Genomic DNA, 15,818 nt, shown 5'->3' with positions numbered 1-15,818 from the left:
ATGTGAAAGTGTCTCTGAGGTTAGGCCCTTATTACACTATTACACTATAGTCATCAAACCTGTTTTCATGACAACAACATCTTCATGTTACCCAGAAAACCAAACATCACATGTTGTCATTTATAAGTGGGAGCTGAATGATGAGAACACATGGACGCATGGTGGGTAACAACGCACACTGGGGCCTGTCTGTGGGGACAGGGAAAGCATCAGGAAGAATAGCTAATGAATGCTGGGCTTAATACCTAGGTGATGGGTTGATATGTGCAGCAAACCACCATGGCACACGTTTACCTATATAACAAACCTGTACATCCTGCACATGCAACCCGGAACTTAAAAGTTGAAGAAAAAAAACTTCACGTTACCAAATAACAGTGCCTTATCCCTGCTCCAAATTCCAAGTTCTTTTTAGAAGGTCTTATAGAATATATAAAATGCTTCCATTTTAAACAGCTTAAAATACATTCTGGGCCGGGCTTGGTGGCTCACACCTGTAATCCCAGCACTTTGGGATGCTGAGGCGGGTAGATCACCTGAGGTCAGGAGTTTGAGACCAGCCTGGCCAACATAGCGAAACCCCGTCTCTATTAAAAATACAAAAATTAGCCAGGCATGGTGGCAGGCGCCTGTAATCCCAGCTACTTGGGAGGCTGAGGCAAGAGAATGACTTGAACCTAGGAGGTGGAGGTTGCAGTGAGCCAAGATTGTGCCATTGCACTCCAGCCTGGGCGACAGAGCGAGACTCTGTCTCAAAAAAAAAAAAAAATTCCAACTTAAAACTCCCTTCTGTATTAAAATATGAACTAGAAAATTGTTATGTAATTTTGTATTGTCCAACTGTTAGATTTTTTTCCCCTATTAATTAGGAATTTGCGAGTAAGTATCTCTTCCACATCTGAAAGCAAGTAAAGTAAGCAGCTGAAGTTATTAGTCATGTCCATGTTAACTTGAAGGCAGCTATTCTTTTGACTGTACAACATTAATAAGAGGCATGTTTTAGTTTTAGGTTTTAAATTGTTAATAGAAACCACATAGTGATATGTGTGTGCACTCTCTTTGTCCTCACTATTAAATCCCAAATGCCAGATCTACTGTCTTAACTAAGAGACTATGCATCTGAGTAAACCAAGTGTAAATTCCTTTACCTGTCTCATGGAAGTCATCATCTTATCTGATTTCACTGTAAGCATGGAATGGAACAGAAGTTCTTGACAGTAATCACAGATTGTCCAAGAAGATTAGCCAGGTAAGGACAACTCTGCTCCTACTTTGAGAGATTACCTTCAGGATCTAGTGTTCCTAGAGAAGAAATATGTTTTGGGGTTATACTCAGGTATTATTGGCAACTAGGAAGTACAGTGTTTTTTAATGTCACCTTTGTTCCTTTGCAGCATGACCCTAAGATCCTAGAGAAATTACACAGTCAGGTTTTCTTTAGAGAAGATGGAGAAACAACTCAAGCATTTACAGGTCTTCTGAATGGAAGGGCATTAGACTCCGAGAACTGTTTCAAACGTGAATTGCACTTCAAAGTAGCCTAGGCCCAGAGCCAGTCAGTCACTCAGAGCCCCCTTCAGGCTTTGGAAGACTGTTCTTCCTGCGTTTATAGGTCATTTGGTACTTTTTCAGAAATAACTAAATTTAGCAACATGAGAAATAGTCACAAATACTTGAAGATGAGGAAGTAGAAATAAAAGTTCAAACAATATGACAGACTTGTTTAAGGACACTTCATCAGGAGCAAAACACTCAATATTAATTCCAAATTAATATTTTGGGTCTTGAAATTAAAGGAAACAAATGGCTTTATAAAGACTTTATGTGTGTGTGAAACCAAATCTTATGAAAAAGTTATTATTAAACTAGCACTGAAAATTAACATATGTCACTTACTCACTGATTCTAAGTAGAAATTTAGCTAAGAAAATCTAAGCCAGAGTTTTCAGGTTTACAAAACCCTTCACTGATCTCTTCAACAGCAGCAAAAAGTGGAGAGGACATTTTCAGGATTCAGTCTGAATGCTACTATGGCTGAAAACCAGATTAAATTTATCTCCTAGGAAGGGGAACATCACACACCGGGGCCTGTTGTGGGGTGGGGGAAGCGGGGAGGGAAAGCATTAGGAGATATACCTAATGTAAATGACGAGTTAATGGGTGCAGCACACCAACATGGCACATGCATACATATGTAACAAACCTGCACGTTGTGCACATGTACCCTAGAACTCAAAATATAACATAAAAAAAACTAATAAATAAATAAATTTATCTCCTATAAGGCAAAATCCTAATCAAAGACTCACATGAAACCGCCTCTGAAACAACTGCTTAGATTCAAAACTGATTATCAGTTTCATTTTATTATTAGTAAACTTCATCTCTCCTTTATTTGTGAACATGATAAATTCCTAAATTTACATTCAAAGCCACAGAATATTACTGCAAATGTGGACGTGTTGACAAAAAGTTTCCAACAGCTTTCCAAACATTTTTTTAAATGCAATATGGTGCATACTAGCCCTAGGGCAACAAGACAGAATTTCCGAGATGATAAGTAAATTGCCTTCTTTAAATTTAAATTGCCCTTTTAAACAACCTAAGGCATGTACAAAGAATGCCTCTGTATAAATGCTGTATGTTAACATGTTATATTAAATCTGACAATAAGAACCCCAATTAGTTTACATCCTTAGTCTCCTAAGCCTACTATTATCTCTTAATGCTTTTAACTCTCTGTACCCTAAGCAAACACTTTAAAATAAGTAATAGTTATAAAGCAATTAGTTGAGCCATTAAAGAAATATTTAATTGGTTCCTAGACTATCAAAAAGACTTTAAATCCATTTACAAATAGGAAAATTGAAAACTAAAGTCTAATTGCTTTCACTATAACTACATAGCATATGAATAAAATTTACAGTAACTACATCATAAGTAAAGCAATAATTAGTATTGTCAACAACCGAATATATTTAGCCTCCTTTTAAAAAAAACAATAGTTTTTGGTAAAATCATCTATTTTATAAGCCACTCGGATGCCTCCCTAATAACAGATTTATTTCAAATTCATTAATTTCATATTCTTTAGAAAGGATATTAAAAATGAAAACCTTAACCACCCAAAAAAACTAGTTTTGGGATTGTAATCAAAGCTAACACACTACTCATTATTTGGGAGGTTGGTAAATGCCTTTTTCTTGTTTGCTGCCTTCTGCTTTATCACTTATTTACACAGAAATTTCTTCAAATTTCATACTATATATCACAGTTGATGATTATTTTATTGTCAAAAAAGATCAACAAAAAGCTAAGTATCACTTTAAAAAATTATAGAAAAATAATTTTACGGTTATACAAAAACATGCTTTGTCTTCTGTGAATGTAACGCCTTTAAAAAAAATAAAGTTGGGGTGAGGGGAGAGAAAAGACAGATGAGACACAAGGGCTAGGCAGAAACTTCATGTATGTGATTTGAGGGTCCTGCTCAAAAATCTCCCTTCCTGGCTTCCATGTGAATTTTCCATAATAGTAAATTCCTTTAGGGTAAAGCAGGAGATTATTTCTGTAAGGAGTGTATGTTACTCTAGAATGATTTATGTACAAGTTACCAAAACCAATTTAAGCTAGCTTAAATAAAATAGTGTTTGTTATAAGGATTCAGGCCTATATCACAACCTAATCAGCAGGAAGAACAGGCACGTCTCATGGTAATATTAGAAGGTCCTTAGGCAGAGGCAGAGGCCGAGCCTTTTTGTCTGTTTGTCCCTGTCCATATCATCTTTCTTTTATCTCTTTTTCTGGAAAGAAAGTGAAAATCTACTTCACTCCTTTCTCTATAGACTGGCTTCCTTGGCAAACCTTTTAGGTTTTCCTCCCCCATAACTTTGCCTGGTATGTGACTGATGCATAAGGAGCTGACCCTGGTACTATGCCTACCAACCAACTCTGTGCCGTCTTTAGTGGACAACACCACATGATTCAAAAATCCCAGGAGAGAGAATACAGTTGACCTAGCTTGGATACTCCTGTCCCATCAGCTATGTCCATGGAACAGGGTTGAACCTTCCCACCCATGGATAGGGACAGAGAACTGAGAATGGGATGTAGCTTAAAATGAAACGCATGTGTCTTACAAGGTCCTGCTGAATTCAAATTTTATACGTGGAGAGGATAATATTAACCACTGAACACAAACAGGAAGACTGAGGGAGAAAGGCTCAGGCAGGTGCATTCTGATGGTTTCCCAATAATTTACTTCTACAGCCTTTCAAGGCAACGATGATAATTCAAGAACTCGAGTGTACATATGAATGAGACATGCCCCCTTCTGGTGGCATGGCAGCTTGGGCATCTTTCATTGTTTGGTGATTCTGATACCTCTCCAGACAACCTTTCAGAAGTAGGGAGGATCCACATACAGAAACTACAAATTGTTCTGCAAAGGGCAACTTATATAAAAACAGGGATGAGACGGCTTTCAGTTTGAAGACAAAGGTATTTTTTTTTAAAGGAACTTGTTGCTTATAAAGTTGAATATCTCAGCAATATGGCTGAAGTACAGAAAAATCATAATGGACAGGGGGAGGGTATATATCAAATACAAAATTCTGAAACAAGGAGGACCCCTTGAAGCCAAAAAAAGAAAGATTTCAGGGCAAAGGAATAACGCTTCTTTATATAGTAACTGGTAAATATACAGCACATGTCATCTTAACAATTATTTCTCCATGCCCTTTAAATATGTGTTTTCTACTTGCTGTCCTCACCCACCACACACTTCTCCACACACTTCTCCCTCAGCCTGACAAAGTCCTACTTTGAAAGACAAGCACGAAGTTAATTCTCCAGACTTGCCCTTTTCCACTTCCCAGGTATGATTCATTTTATTTTAATATTTAACATACAATGTTAGTGTCTTCACATTCACCTTCTACCACAAACCAGGGTGTGGCTTACCTGAGAACAGAGATTATATCTTAGTTACCTTTCTCTCCTCAAAGTCCAGTATAACAAAAGACACCTAAAAAAATCCACTAAGTAGTTTTTCGATGAGTCACAGAAACTAAAAACAAACAAATTCAACAAAGGGTCATGGAAACTCATGAATAATAGATTCACAACGGATTTCTAAGGAAAGAAAGGAAACTCTAGACTGCAATAGAAAGCATGCTTTCTCACGTAAAAGTGACTTTGGTATATGTGCAAGACACTCCTCAAGACTGAGCAGACCACTCTTCTACTCAATCTTGTACATACCATCTGGCCCAGATCCATCTCTAATTTCTGTCACAGTACTGTTTGGCACAATATCTTCCAGCTGAACTTGCCAAAGGAAGACTTTATATCCACTACTGTGCCAGTGATTATTATCTTTCAGTTCCAAACCCACCTTTCTATATTTTGCTTTGTGAATCTGGCTCTAGAACTTAGCAAAAATTTCTTGCCAACAGCCTTCCCATTAGGATTTACCAAACAGGGGACACTAGACAGAAGCAGAAGGGCTGGCGGAAGAGACTTACATCCTTTTGCTCGCTGCTTAAAGGCAACTCACCATAGTAATTGGAGTGGTCTCAGCATTTATTCAAGCCTACTCCTACTCCCCAAACCAGCCCCATTATTTTCTAGAGACACAACAGGCAGCCAGCCAGCCAAGTACCCCCCCCATCCCATCCCCAGAGATCTGAACCCCAACTTGCCAGGCGCTTTTGTGAGCTTCCAAATTTTGATAATCCCAACCTCTTCCTTTTATTGCCTTAGCCCTATTGGTGCTAGTTCTTCTTGGAATCACTATCTGTGTGTTTCCTTAATATTTCCATTTTTTTTTTTTCAGTCCTCCAATACAACCTGCCCATTGTAAGACCTACCTCTCAATGCTGCTATGCAAATCCACAGACTTTTGCTTATAACCTTCCATGACCCATAATCTTTTCCATGGTTCCCTGACTGCCAACAGCAATGGGGTCTGATAGTGATTTTTGGTAACAAATCTTTGCCAATTCCACGCCTCCTCTACATTTCTGATACAGGATATAGCTCACATACGTGGAGTAGGGATTATTCCAGTTGGCAGAAAAAAGACAAGAGACATTGACTCTATTAACAACCAAGCAAAGCAATAAATGTAGAATTTCAATAAATCATCATAACCCAATGTTCAATAAACTTACTGAACACTAGTGTTAAAAAGCACTGCTTGGTAATAATGAACGCATTAAAAAAAACTTAAAGCCTGGCCCTATTCATGTGAACTTGGGAGACAAGTCTGAAAAGAGACTTGAAATCAACAGTTAACCAAGTAATATAAAAAGTAACAAATTCATGTTTGGATAAGATCAGATTTACACTAGATACCAAGACCATGCTAACTGTGCTAGGCAAGGAAAAGGTGGAACTAATGAAAGTTAGCTACAAGTGACTTTTGACCCTTACTTATACAACTTTATCATTTAAAAAATTATACGGTATTACCTTGTAGCAAAGACTACGATTCCTCCCAATATCCTTTCTCCCTTTCTATCTCATTAGTTACCCACTCACTAAAACCATTTTTAGCTATGCACATGGCTACCTAGAATAAAGATACTGAAAGTGACACGTACAGGTGAAGAAGCAAATCCCTTCTGTTTCCTTCCTTCCTACTGCTGCAATGTGGACATGGTAGTAAAATCTCAGACCACGTAGATGAAAGCAACTCTCCAGGAATGACAGAGTAACAAGAGAGAAGGGCATGGATCCCTAACAGTACCATAAAAGACTATGAAGTCTAAAGCAACTCTCCAGGAATGACAGAGTAACAAGAGAGAAGGGGCATGGATCCCTAACAGTACCATAAAAGACTATGAAGTCTATTTTGCCATTATCAGTTTGGGTATTTATGTAAGAGAAAAAAAAAAAAACTAACATTTTGGATTGCTGTTATAGTAGCCAAATCTATATTTTAATTAACATAAACTTCAAATATTTACTATCCCTTAAAGTTCACACAGAGTCAACAGAATCAACTGAGAGTTGAATCTATTGTTCAGCCTTCATGTATTTCCATAAGATTGGGATAGTGGTAGAAATAATGTTTCCCAGCAGGTACCATTCAAAGACTTCCAGAGCCATTCATGAACACTGAATATGGAGTAAAAATGTTGAAGATAGATAATGTTAATTTTGTACACAGAATTCCCTCGGAGCAAGGGAAGAATATCCATGACTACTGCAGGGAGTTGCCAAAAGAAAAGGTGGTGTTTTCGGTGCATACTTTTATTAGACTAATTTAATTTTAAAGCACTTCATTCAATCTTGCCTATGCAGAAAAATTTATCCAACTAATAGACACAATATGGCTCTAGTGCTTGCAAAATGTTCTTGGAAGTATATTTGATTTGGAGGAACTATTTTGATATTTCCATGATATGAAATGAGTTTCCGATAACTGAAACATAATTCATACACTGGACATCTATTTCTGTATGAATAGAAATCTAATATGGGTTATACTTAAAACCATTTGACTCATAACTGGAGTCAAGGAACCACTTAACGTTGGGGTTTCCTGCATAAAAGAAATTCCTAAACATAAATACTTAGCAGATTCATCAGGCTCTGTGGCAATGTAGCAAGATGGAGGTGACTGCCAAGCAGGGGTTGTTCTAGGAAACCTATTTTAACTATCAGTAGAATTTTTAATTGTGAAATACACTGTAAACAGAAATCTTTTTTGATAAATAACCGCAAGATCAGTGAGAGGTGTTCAGATGGAAAACAATATGGGGAGCATAAGTGCTGATATGAGTGTAAGATGATCACATGAGCACCTCAAGTTTGAGGATTGAGAATGAACTGCAGGTCTCAACCGGGGTTCAAGACCAGGGAGACGAAGAGTATTTGTAAACCAAACAAAAACCACTGGAACACTTTAACCTCTCCCTCGAGGGCAGTAAGGCCAGGGGCTACTCAGCAGCGGACAGGGGAATAATATAAAGTAGGGTGTGTCTGCTTTTGAGGAGTTTAGGAACCAACTGGGGAAACAGCCACGTGCTAAAGAGCATTACCATCAATCATAATCAGGAACTTTGCTGAGGTCAGATATATCGGTATGGACTCAAGTGGTCAGGAAAATCTTCAGAGAACAGGTAGATCCTGAACTGATCTTGAAGGATGGTAAGATTTACACAGCTGGATGATACCATGCTGCACATGAACATGAAAGGAAGGCCTCAAGGCAGAATTCAGCGAGCAGAGGCAGCCAGATTCCTCCCCTGAAGACAGGTCCATCTGTCCACAGCGCTTTCTCTTCTCTCAGGACACTAAAGTTCTTTAAAGAAAACTGGATGTTCTTTAAAAACTGGATCAGTGACCAGGTCAGTTTGTGAAAGATATGCTAAAATGCTGAAGTTTCTTTTCTATAGTACTTTTCAAAGCTTTTAACGTACCAATGTATGCCGTGAAATCTCTGAGGGGGTGATACAATATGCAACACTTATCAACCTTACTGGCCCAAAACCCCTGTTTAAAGTAATGCCTGATAATACACCTTGGTTCATAGAACACAGTTCAGAAAGTGCTACTTGGTGGTACTGAATCCCACCTGAAAAGGTAGGCTCTGCAGTCAGCCTAGGTTTGAACTCTAGTTGTTACCTAGAAGACCAAGTGACCTTGGGCAAGGTAATTTAACTTCTCTAAGCCACAAATTTCCTCAACTGTAAAATGTCAGAAGATTAAATTAAGAATGTAAACATACCTAAGAGTTCAGTATAAGTTACTTATTAGTATTTGATGCTCAATTTTCAGACTAGAATTTTGGCTCCCCACATGGGTGAGGAGTGACTGTGCTGACCTGTTGTATTAGTATATAAGTATAAATAAATGCATAATGTCTGTATGTATTTAAGATGCAAAGACATAGAAAAGAAGAGCCCTATCACCTCAGAGTGAAATAAGTGTAGTCCAACTATGCAATGACTAAAAGAAAAGGTATTTGTTTTAATTTTTACATATTCATAATATGAAGGAAAATGAGAAAATCCTGGAGTGGCTGAGTTGCATCAGGAGAAAGAAAAGAGAAATTATGCTTCACGACACACAGACTATAGGAGTAAGACTAATAAACAAAATTAAGAAACCAATATTTTTATTAAACCTCATATTTAACCCCATGGCACTGACTTAAATTTCTTAATACTAACTCACTAGGCAGAAGTTTAAAAGCCTTAGAGTGCTTTAAAGTCCACAACTTTAAGTTATGAACTATGTTGGGGTAAAGAACAGGGAAGAGATAGTGAAACAAGTAACTGCCACAAAATAGTTGCTCTTCTAGTGATGGCTTCTGTTTCTCTTCATTTAATTGCTGGTTTTGCCAGAAAGCACTCCAAGTTTCAGCAATCTTAATAGACCATCTTATAAAATTCAAAATCATGCCTTGGTTTTTTTCAAGGGCAGGTGAAAAAATTTTGCAAATGTGGTGTATATGACAATTTCAGATCTGTAATTCCCAGTACACAGGTTTTTTTTTTTTTTCTAATGTCCTCTTTCCTCAAACCATCTCAATACTAAAATGACCAGATGGTTAAAAAAAATTACAAATCTATACATATCCTAACAACAATTAAAATATTTCTACAGTGAAATTAAAAAAGCAATCCACAGAGTTTATTTATACTGTGGACTATGTCTATGTATAGTACATATATTTAGGCAAGAAATACACCAATAGCTAATGATAATTATCTTTGGATAGGATGGGTTGTAGATAATTTTGTTTCTTACTTGCTTTAACTTTGTAATATTTTCTACAATGAACATACATTCTTTTTTTCTTAATGTAAATGTATTTTAAAAGTAAGTAGGCCGGGTGCGGTGGCTCACACCTGTAATTCCAGCACTTTGGGCGGCCGAGGCGGGTGGATCACGAGGTCAGGAGATCGAGACCATCCTGGCCAACATCCGTCTCTACTAAAAATATTAAAAAATTAGCTGGGCATGGTGGTATGCACCTGTAATGCCAGCTACTCGTGAGAGTAAGGCAGGAGACCCAGGGAGTTGGAGGTTGCAGTGAGCCAAGATTGCACCACAGCACTCCAGCCTGGTGACAGAGCAAGACTCCATCTCAAAAAAAAAAAAGTAAGTAAACAATAATATTTTCCTCTTTCCCCATTTGAGAACACTGTTCATTTAAGGATATAACTTTTAAGGCAAAAGTCTAAAAGTCCAGGAGAAAAGACAATATTCAGCCCTCCTTCACTTACAATTCAAAATAATGAATTCATAATAAGTTTGCAGAACTTAAGTATTTTCATTTTTAAAGCACTCTTGAAACTATGTACAAATTATGGTGCTCATCCAAGAAGAAGGAACAGAAGGAAGGAAAAACAGTATGTATAAAAGTGCAAGTTAAACCCAGCCATAGAAGCTCTGATAAACGTATCTAAAGGAAGCACAAGAACATTGCTATGAAGTTGATTTTATGTCTACTTTACAGATGAGGAAAAGGAAGCTCTCAGAAAGTAAATCACTCAGCGAAACTCACTAACGCTATTAACAGTGATTGCACCAGCATTTTAACCCATGTCAGAGTCCATGTGTACTTTTACTATATAATGATGTCAGCTTTTATTTTTAATCCGCCAGCTGCCACCTTGTCCTTGGGGAGCTATATGTTTCACAATAAGGAAAATTACACATCAATATAATTTCTCTAGAACATTTAGTATTCATAAGGATTAATGTTCATGGTTATCAACGCAATTTTTTTTTAAAATAGACCCACTCATCCTTCAGACTCCCCAACCCCATGACAAATGATTGGCTTAAGCCATGACCTTGTACTATATAGCAGGCCCCTCCTCCTTTTATGTGGCACATACTTATCTTCTTCCTACACCTTAAAGTTCACTCTCCTTGCCCTATGCCCAAGCTCTCATAAGGAATACCATAATCAAGTTGAATGTAATTTCCCTAGGAATCTTTCAAATTGATTAAGGATGTGTTTGAGTTTTTCAAAATCTCAGTGAGACAGTGACAAGAAAACATCACTAGGATAGCAGCTTATCCCAAAACCATAAGATTGCTAAATCTCTTGAACCTAAATAATGCTTATTTATCTCTTTCTTGACTAGCACACGGTTCATACAAACTGCAGACTCTAAGATGTATACAAGGAAATTAAAAAAACAAAACAAAACACACTTTCCCAGCAGCACAGATTTAACCCCCACTACTTCCTGGTAACTTGTTACAATACAGAGTTCTGAATTTAGTATTCCTAAACTGTAAGTCCTTTTTGCTTGTGCTAAATATCTACTACATTTTAATTCATTATACTGCCTAGGACAGGAAGCATTTAAGCAGTATTATAAAATAAGAAATGCAGTACCTGTATTATTTTAAGAGTAAGGGATTTCTCTCAATCAAGTATGATAGTAATTAAAACCCTAAATTATACTAGCTTCTTTTCCCCAAAAGGAATTTTTCCACTTTTTTTTTTTTTTGAGATTCATTGATCTTCTTCACTCCCAGTAGTAAGTTAAGCATCTAAGAGACACTGTCCTTTCAAGATTCCACATGCCACCCAGTGCACCATTTACTCTGTACATAACATGGGCTGTCCATGCTGCTACACACTTTCACGGAGTGGTGAAGAGAATTCAGTGAACCTGAGTCTTCTCTGGGCAAAGCAAAGGTGATTTCTGACTGATAACAAGCAAACTGAAACAGATCAAATTTCTCATGCATTTTGCTTCATGACAAACCTGTCAAAGCACGGTGATTTTTGTTTTGCTTTTTTACTTTTTTGGTTGTCAGTCAGCTGTTACCAATGTATTTTTTAACGTACACATGTAAAATCCTAAATAAAGACAAACAGGAATATCAGTACTGGTCCATGGATTTAAGAAATTAGGTAAATTAATATGTATCTAAATGGATAGTACCAGAAATAAATCAGGAACCTGACTTAAGAAGGCACTGTATATGTTCTGATCTTTTTTACCACTTAAATATGGTTATCATGTAAAACTGTGGCAAGTGGCCCAATGCTCATAGACAGCTGACAAGAAGTAATGGGGATGGAGTGAAGCAGATTGAAACATCAGTGTTCAACTTTCATAATATTAATATTTCAAAGTACCGAAAACCCTCTCCTAAATCAGTTTTTTTTTTACATTATCAGGAAGTTGTTCCATATAGTAATTTAAATTTGATTTGATTTTCATCACTGCATATATAAGGCAATTTTAAATTAAGCCCACTTCTCCCCCTCCCCCTCCCCCTCCCTCTCCCTCTCCCTGGTCTCCCTCTGATGCCGAGCTCCCTCTCCCTGGTCTCCCTCTGATGCCGAGCCGAGGCTGGACTGTACTGCCGCCATCTCGACCCACTGCAATCTCCCTGCCTGATTCTCCTGCCTCAGCCTGCCGAGTGCCTGGGATTGCAGGCGGGCGCCACCATGCCTGACTGGTTTTCATATTTCTTGGTGGAGACGGGGTTTCGCCGTGTTGGTCGGGCTGGTCTCCAGCTCCTGACCGCGAGTGATCTGCCAGCCTCAGCCTCCCTAGGTGCAGGGATTGCAGACGGAGTCTCGCTCACTCAGTGCTCAATGTTGCCCAGGCTGGAGTGCAGTGGCGTGATCTCGGCTCGCTACAACCTCCACCTCCCAGCCGCCTGCCTTGGCCTCCCAAAGTGCCGAGATTGCAGCCTCTGCCCGGCCGCCACCCCGTCTAGGAAGTGAGGAGCGTCTCTGCCTGGCCGCCCATCGTCTGGGATGTGAGGAGCCCCTCTGCCCCGCCGCCCAGTCTGGGAAGTGAGGAGAGCCTCTTCCCGACCCTCATCCTGTCTAGGAAGTGAGGAGCGTCTCTGCCCGGCCGCCCATCGTCTGGAATGTGGGGAGCGCCTCTGCCCCACCGACCCGTCTGAGATGTGAAGAGCGCCTCTGCCCGGCCGCGACCCCGTCTGGGAGGTGAGGAGCGTCTCTGCCTGGCCGCCCCGTCTGAGAAGTGAGGAGCCCCTCCACCCGGCAGCCGCCCCGTCTGGGAAGTGATGAGCGTCTCCGCCCGGCAGCCGCCCCGTCTGGGAGGTGGGGGACAGTCCCCGCCCGGCCAGCCGCGCCGTCAGGGAGGTGGGGGGCAGTCCCTGCCAGGCCAGCCGCCCCGTCCGGGAGGTGGGGGGCAGACCCCGCCCGGCCGCCGCCCCGTCTGGGAGGTGGGGGGGCGCTTCTGCCCGGCCGCCCCGTCTGGGAGGTGTACCCAACAGCTCATTGAGAACGGGCCATGATGACGATGGCGGTTTTGTCGAATAGAAAAGGGGGAAATGTGGGGAAAAGAAAGAGAGATCAGATTGTTACTGTGTCTGTGTAGAAAGAAGTAGACATAGGAGACTCCATTTTGTTCTGTACTAAGAAAAATTCTTCTGCCTTGGGGAAAAAAAAAAAATTAAGCCCACGTCAACCCAGGAAAATTTGCAGTCCTTTGACAGAAAGGAGCCTTGTGCCAGAAAACCCAATCCCTAATCTTTCTCCCATTCCTGCTCAATCACTGATCTTTACATTTCATCATTCATCCCTCTCAAGACCTGTGGTATTTCAAAGGATATAACAGCCTATTAATGCAGCTTTAAAAAAAAAAAAAAAGTGCAGCGTGTGAGAGGAATAGTGGGAGGGGGTGCACAGAGATGACACAGAGAACACATTTTTTTTAAGTTCCATTATCTCTAATTTTAGAAATGAAATTTTATTTTCTCATTATCACTGGCTCAAGAGTTAAAGGTTCGGTTACCTTTTACCTTTAATTAAAAAGTATCAGGTACACAGAGAAAAAGCAGTGTGTGTGTGTGTGTGTGTGTGTGTGTGTGTGTGTGTGTGTGTGTGTTTATGTGTGTGGATTATGAGTAACCTGCTAGCCTCACCATTCAAAGGTTTGGTTATCTTTAATTTAAAAGTATCAGGTACATAGAGAAAAAGCAGAGTGTGTGTGTGTGTGTGTGTGTATTATGAGTAACCTGCTAGCCTCATCATTCAAAGGTTTGGTTATCTTTAATTTAAAAGAATCAGGTACATAGAGAAAAAGCTGTGTGTGTGTGTGTGTGTGTGTGTGTATTATGAGTAACCTACTAGCCTCATCATTCAGAGGCAACACGCTGTTGTGTCTGTGTGTGTGTGTGTGTGTGTGTGTGTATTAAGAGTAACCTGCTAGCCTCATCATTCGGGGCAACACGCTGTGTGTGTGTGTGTGTGTGTGTGTGTGTGTGTGTATTATGAGTAACCTGCTTGCCTCATCATTCAGAGGCAACACGCTGTGTGCCCACATGGCAAGTTTACTTTTTCTAGCTACCTGCAGTCAATAAAATATACAACTGACATTTTTTATCCTTAAAATAATCATTCTTACTTTTAGCACCCACTGGAACCCAAAAGAAACTGACCAATGAATCACTCAAATTCCAGGCCTCATAATCAGAGAAAGGAATCCACTGTTCCAAGGGAGAAAAAAATAGATTGTAGTTATTTTTAAAAAGAATTAAAGGAATAGTAGGAAAAGTATCTCAATTCACCAGAAAACAAAAATACTGAACAAATGTATATTACTTTTGCTCTTACCTTAAGTTTTCTAATTTTCTATATTTAAAAAAGCATCTATTCCTTAACTGACACTTACAACTTCCTTTTAGTTATTCTTTCTGCATTTATAAATGCAGAATCATAAATCATTACACAAGACATGTTATTTTTAAACATAAGTACCTGTCACTTAAGCTAAAGAAGTAGTTGCAAATAAGAATAAATGTTTCAAGCCATTCATTTATCTTTAGGAAGTGATTTTTGCCAACATATAAGAAAGATTTTAACATTTACTTTTATCTTACTGTTACCAGTTAACAGAGCGGTGGTCAAGGATGATAACTGCTTCTTACAAAACATGATTTTACCACTGTGAAACTATTAGACTCTCTGGCTGTGATTCACTTTCCATTTAGTCATAGTGTATAGGCTGATCAAACAAGAGTGGCTGTACTCTTCTTGCAGTCATAATTAATGGAAAGTAAGACGAAGCCGCATTCATTAAAACCTTCCTCAGATTTTCAAATAGGACACTGGGAAAAATAATATGAGAATGACCATACAGTATATATGTATTTTGACCAATACTTGGATGATACCGGCAGTTCCTTTCTCAGGCTAAGCAAACAGCAGGACCTGGGAAAAGCCATGGTATTTTCAGCTTTATTATGTCTGTAGGTGATTCCACTCTTCAAAATTTTCAAAGTTAACAACTGTGCTTTCACGTACCCTACATTTATTTTAAAATAGAAGTGTTACATGTGCCATGATTTAGAGTCTAAATGTTAGCTATAAGAAGAGGAATAGAGTTATCTTAATTTCATACAGAAAATGTATTTCTTTAAAATACCAAGGTATTTAAAAATCATCCTTTCTTAGTATATTTTTAGAATAGAGAATTTTAGAAAATTATTTACTAAAGTATTTTTTTCTCTACTACCATGATCTCCCTGGACTGTAAGCAAATTTATTTTCACTGATCACTAAAAGGGAAACATTCTCCAGCCTCTTTGACGAACACTGGACTTAGAATTTCCTCTGAGGCCATCACACAGGGAGCAACAGTTAACGAAACTGCAGGCCTGTATATCCCCATTCCAGCAATCTTCTGCTTAAATGTTCAAATATAATTATATATTTTAAGTGATAAAAATTTCCAATCTTGACAGTAATCTTTTAGTTTAAGAACATCTACCACAGTAGAAAAATCTGCATGTGTAAAGTAATAAAATTTCAGTCATTTCTATTCCATTACTCTAAAAAGCACTTTGTAGTC

At 38.8% G+C, this 15,818-nt stretch overlaps 1 protein-coding gene across 5 annotated transcripts in view; it reads right to left on the bottom strand.

Moving 5' to 3' along the window:
* Positions 1-15,818, bottom strand: part of GALNT7 (polypeptide N-acetylgalactosaminyltransferase 7) — a 155,157-nt gene that overhangs the window by 127,071 nt on the left and 12,268 nt on the right. The gene's annotated exons all lie outside the window — the stretch shown is intronic.

The sequence above is a fragment of the Homo sapiens genome, chromosome 4 (genome assembly GCF_000001405.40).
Source record: "Homo sapiens chromosome 4, GRCh38.p14 Primary Assembly".
Taxonomy (NCBI): Eukaryota; Metazoa; Chordata; class Mammalia; order Primates; family Hominidae; genus Homo; species Homo sapiens.
The sequence above is the reverse complement of the archived record's forward strand: the minus strand, read 5'-3'. Positions and strand labels throughout refer to the sequence as shown.